Genomic DNA, 6,179 nt, shown 5'->3' on the forward strand with positions numbered 1-6,179 from the left:
CTTTGGGAGGCCAAGGTGGGTGGATCACGAGGTCAGGAGATCAAGACCATCCTGGCTAACATGGTGAAACCCCATCTCTACTAAAAATAGAAAAAAAATTAGCCAGGCGTGGTGGCCGGCGTCTGTAGTCCCAGCTACTCGGGAGGCTGACGCAGGAGAATGGCGTGAACCCAGGAGGCGGAGCTTGCAGTGAGCCGAGATCGCACCACTGCACTCCAGCATGGGCGACAGCGCAAGACTCCATCTCAAAAATAAATAAATAAAAAATAAAAATAAAAATAAATAATTTTTAAAAAGATAGAAGTTTATTTCTCTCACAGGTCAAGAGGTGGACAATCAACAATCCAAGATGTGTGACAATGCCACCACTACAAGGTCCCTGAGTATTCAGAACCTCAACCCCCAACTTTCAGATTCACAACCACAAGCTTCTATTCACTGTCCAAAGTGAAGCTCTGGCTTCCTCATCCATGTTCAAAGCCTCAGGATGGAGGAAGGGCTGAGAACACCAGTTGTCTGGGAAGAAACTTCTTTTTTTTTTTTTTTTTTTTTTTGAGACGGAGTCTCAGCTCTGTCGCCCAGGCTGGAGTGCAGTGGCATGATCTTGGCTCACTGCAAGCTCCGCCTCCCAGGTTCACGCCATTCTCCTGCCTCAGCCTCCCGAGTAGCTGGGACTACAGGCGCCCACCACCATGCCCAGCTAATTTTTTGTGTTTTTAGTAGAGATGGGGTTTCACCGTGTTAGCCAGGATGGTCTCGATCTCCTGACCTGGTGATCTGCTTGCCTCGGCCTCCCAAAGTGCTGGGATTACAGGTGTGAGCCACCACGCCCAGCCGGAAGAAACTTCTTAAAAGTTAACTTATAACTCCTCAACTTATGGGCAAGCATTTAAGTTGAGTTTATTAATTCTACAGAGGTTATCTCCCTAAAAGGGGGCTAGGAATGACAGGATTAGGGTTTGTGTTTGGTGATTTCAAAAGAAACAGGAAATTGTTCTGGCTTAGATGCTGTCAGAAAGATGACTACTTCTTAATCTTATCTAGAAGGAGGGAGAAATGAAATATGGCTAAAGCTGTAAGGTAAAAAAGCCAACACATTTTAGCTGACAGGGAACTGTGTGGTGTTTTTGTGCTTAGACAAGATTTTGAAGTTTGTCTAATTTCATCACAAACACAGGATGACCTTGTTTGACACTGATTTTCTGTGAGATAGTTTATGTTCAACAAGAGTACCATGGCCTAACTATGGGCAACAGGCCAGCTCCCAGCAACACCAAAGCCTGCCAGTTATTGTCAGGCCAGTTCCCAATTCTCAGGGACTGTTTTTCTTAAAAGTATGCAAACATATAATTACAGGTTGAGATGAATCATATGAAGGAAATAAATGGGGTACTGAATAGAAACAGTAGTTGGGGAGCTACTCAAGACATGGTGGCCGGGCGCGGTAGGTCACGCCTGTAATCCCAGTACTCTGGGAGGCTGAGGCGGGTGGATCGCCTGAGGTCAGGAATTCGAGACCAGCCTGGCCAACATGGTGAAACCCTGTCTCTACTAAAATAACAACAACTAGCGAGGCGTGGTGGTGGGCATTTATAAATAATCCCAGCTACTTGGGAGGCTGAGGCAGGAGAATGGCTTGAACCCAGGAAGCAGAGGTTGCAGTTAGCCGAGATTGCACCATTGTACTCCACCCTGGGCAACAGAGCGAGACTCCATATCCAAAAAAAAAAAAGACATGGTGGCTAGGATAGACCTCTCTGAGGAATCTGTAGATGAAGGGCCCAGAACTTAGCCTTGAGGAACTCTGACATTGAATTGCTAAGTGAAGAAGGACAAGGATAAGCCAGACAAGGAGACTAAGGAGGGATGACGGAGAGGCAGGGAGAGATCTCAGAGTGTGGCGTCACCTGGCTGCTTGCTCAGTGCCAGGTACCCTGCTAAGCTCTTTATAGACATTGTCTTTGTCTTATTTAAGCTTCACATACTTTTTTGGGGGGGGAGAGGGGGTGGTTCAAGCGATTCTCCTGCCTCAGCCTCCCGAGTAGCTGGAATTACAGGTGCCCACCACCACACCCGGCTAATTTTTTGTATTTTAGTAGAGATGGGGTTTCACCATGTTGGCCAGGCCGGTCTCGAACTCCTGACCTCAGGTGATCTACCTGCCTCGGCCTCCCAAAGTGCTGGGATTATAGGCATGAGCCACCGCACCTGGCCAAGCTTTGCATACTTTCAGTGAACACTTTAGTGCCTACTGTAGGGCAAGCACTGTTTTAGGAGCTGGAGCTACATCAATAAAAAGGACAAAATCCCTGCCCATATGGAGCTTACATTGCTTTGAGGATGATAGACAATATACATAGGTAATATAATTTTAAGTAATAGTAAATGCTTCAAATGAAAATAAAGTGAAAAAAGAGGTTAGAGAGTGACAGGTGGAAGAGAACAGGTTGATACAAAGAGAGAGCTGCTTTGAGGAGGTAACACATAGAGAGAAAATTAAACGAGGGAACAAACCATATGAACACACAGAGAAAGTGCGTTCCAGGCACAGGGAACAGCAAAGGCAAAGGCCTTGATGCAGGAATGACTCTGGGGTGTTTGAAGTAAAAATAGAAGGCCAGGCCAGGCGTGGTGGTTCATGCCTGCAGTCCCAGCACTCTCAGAGGCTGAGGCAGGAGCACTGCTTGAGCTCAGAAGTTTGAGACCAGCCTGGGCAACATGGTGAGACCCTGTGTCTGCAAAAATGTTTAAAAAGTACCCAGGCCTGGTGGCGTGTGCCTGTAGTCCTAGCTAGTTGGAGGCTGAGGTGGGAGGATCCTTTGAGGTTGCAGTGAGCTATGATTATACCACTACACTCCAGCTTGAATGACAGACCAAGATCCTGGTTCAAAAAAAAAAAAAAAAGCCCAGTGTGGCTAGACTGTGGGAGATGGGATCAAGATGTTTAACAGAGGGCATATTGTACAGAGCCCTATAAACTATGGTAAAGCATTTGGATTTTATTCTGGATTTTATACTTTTTTAAATATTTTTATACTTTGAACAAATGGATTTACTTTTTTTTTTTTTCTTTTTGAGACGGAGTCTTGCTCCATCACCCAGGTTGGAGTGCAGTGGCATGATCTCAGCTCACTGCAACCTCCACCTCCCGGGTTCAAGTGATTCTCCTGCCTCAGCCTCCCAAGTAGCTGGGACTACAGGCGCCCACCACCACGCCTGGCTAATTTTTGTATTTTTAGTAGACACAGGGTTTCGCCATGTTGGCCAGCCTGGTCTTGAACTCCTGACCTTTTGATCCGCCCGCCTCAGCCTCCCAAAGTGCTGGGATTACAGGCGTGAGCCACCGCGATTGGCCCATGGATTTACATTTTAAAACCACCTCTGACTGTAGGTGTGAAGGATAGACTAGAGAATGAGAATGACAGCAGGCAGACCAGTTAGGAGGCCAGCGCAGTGCAGTGGTCCAGGGAGAAGAGACGATGGCTTGGTCAGGGTAGAGGTGGAGAGAAGTGGTTAAATTTGGGTTATGTTTTCGTCTCAGTTGATGGCAATTACATCTTTCTAGTTAACTCAGGCCAGAAATATTGGAGTCATCCTTAATTCTATTTGTCAAACATGACCTCCAATCCATTAACAAAACTTGTTGGCTCTTTTCCAAAATACATTCAGAAACCAGCCCTTTTCACACCTCCACTGCTGTCACCCTAGTCTGAGTCACCATCACCTCCTAATAGATCTCCCTGCTTCTGTCATTTCTGCCCATTCTTTGCTGCCTGCCCCCTCCCACCTCCCGCCCAGGTTGTTCTCAGCACAGCCTCCAGAGTCATCCTTTTTATTTAACAATTTAAAAAATGTTATAGGCCAGGCATGGTGGCTCACGCCTCTAATCCCAGCACTTTGGGAGGCCGAGGCAGGCGGATCACGAGGTCAGGAGTCCGAGACCAGCCTGACCAACATGGTGAAACCCCGTCTCTACTAAAAATACAAAAATGAGCCAGGCATGGTGACGCACGCTTGTAATCCCAGCTACTCAGGAGACTGAGGCAGGAGAATTGCTTGAACCCAGGAGGCAGAGGTTGCAGGGAGCCGAGATCACGCTACTGCACTCCAGCCTGGGCAACAGAGCAAGACTCTGTCTCAAAAAAATAAAATAAAATAAAAATTAAAAAATTGTATTATATACGGAGACAAGGGGTCTCGCTATGTTGCCTGGGTTGGTCACAAACCCCTGGGCTCAGGCAATTCTCCTGCCTCAGCCTCCCAAAGTACTGGCATTACAGGTGTGAGCCACTGCACCTGGCCAGGTCATCCTTTTATTTATTTTATTTTATTTTTTTTTTTTTGAGACGGAGTCTCGCTCTGTCGCCCAACCTGGAGTGCAGTGGCGGGATCTCGGCTCACTGCAAGCTCTGCCTCCTGGGTTCATGCCATTCTCCTACCTCAGCCTCCCCAGTAGCTGGGACTACAGGCGCCCGCCACCTCGCCCAGCTAACTTTTTTGTATTTTTAGTAGAGATGGGGTTTCACCATGTTAGCCAGGATGGTCTCAATCTCCTGACCTCGTGATCCACCCATCTAGGACTTCCAAAGTGCTGGCATTACAGGCATGAGCCACCGCGCCCCAGCCCAGGTCATCCTTTTAAAATGTAGGTTGGATCACATCACTCTGCTCAGAACTCTGCAGTGACTTCCATTTAAATCAACAGAAGAAGCCAAAATCCTTAAGATAATTTAAAAGACCTTTCCCAATCCAGACCCTGCTTTACTTCTCTTTTCACCTTTCCCACAACTCTGGCTCACTCGTGCCACTCCAGCCCCTCTTGCCTCCTTCCTGTTTGTTCCCCATGTATGTCCGAACACTCCTGTCACAGGGCTTTACTCCAGCTGTTTCTTATGCTAGAAAGGCCCTTCTCCTGGAAATCCATGTGGCCAAAACTAATCTTCTTTAATGATTTGCTTGAATTTCACTTTACTGAGGCCTCATTTAAGACTAAAATCTGTCCTCTTGATACTTTTAAACTTGATCCATATTTTCTTTTATCTATAGGATCATCTCCCCTGCTGGAAACCTAATCAGAGATCTTTATTTTATTCAGTAGTATCCCAAGAGCGTAGAAGAGTGCCTGGCACATACTATACACTCAATAAATATATTTGTTGAACAGATGAATGAAAAAATGAGGCAGACTTAGCTGGCTGATGGATTGATTAGGGGAGGAGGAATGGAGAAAGAGGATGATGACCTTTCAGTTTTGGCCCAAATAACTGAATGACCTGTGGTGCAATTTCTTGATGGGGAAGCCTGGAAGAGACAGGCTTTAGGAGTAAGAACAAGAGCTCCATTTTGTACGTATGAGAGAGATTTATTAAAGATCTCAGAGAAGATGTCCCATAAGCAGTTGAATTCATGAGCCTGGAGCTCGGGGCAGAAGTTGGGGGCCAGCAAGAGAAGTTTGGGAATCTTCATTGGTTATAGATGGTATTTAAAGTCAGGAGGTGATAGGTGATAAGTCTAGATTAAGGAGAGTGTCAAAGATTTAGCCCTGAGGCACTTCAACATTTAGACTTCAGGAGAAGCCCATTAGATGCAAAGGAAACCTATAGAGAGTAGTGTCCCTGAAGAAAACAAAGGAGGGAGGGAGCGACCAAGTCTATCAAACATTGATGGGAGAGTGAGTAGGATGGCCCCAGATCTGTTGACTTTGGCAAGTGTGAATTCAGACAATGGTGGCAACAAAAGCATGATTGTAGTGGTTTGAGAGCTGACAGAACTACAGGAGCACCTTGCTCAAGCTCCCATATTAAGTGGTAGAGTTAGAAGTGAACCAAAGTCTTGATTGTGGTGATAGTTTACTGGGTTTATGCAGGTCAAAACTTATTTAAGTGATACTTTGCAGTTTATTTTGGGTGCCATTTTATTTTGTGTACAGTTTATTGTATGTCAATTATATCTCAGTAAAGCTGTTACCAAAAAAAATAAATGAACCGAAGCTCCACTGCACCGTGACTTCTGCATGTTGGGCTCCAGTTCCCTGTTTACAATTGTACACTTCGGGATTTTGTGACACATTTCAACACTGGACCGATCAGACCTCTCCCTTAGCCATTGGTCTGCACTGTCTTTTCTGCCCATGACCCAGTCAGTCTCGCGCCCCATGACCCTCTCCTAAAACACGCGCA

This window comes from Homo sapiens, chromosome 6, assembly GCF_000001405.40.
Source record: "Homo sapiens chromosome 6, GRCh38.p14 Primary Assembly".
In the NCBI taxonomy this organism is placed as follows: domain Eukaryota; kingdom Metazoa; phylum Chordata; class Mammalia; order Primates; family Hominidae; genus Homo; species Homo sapiens.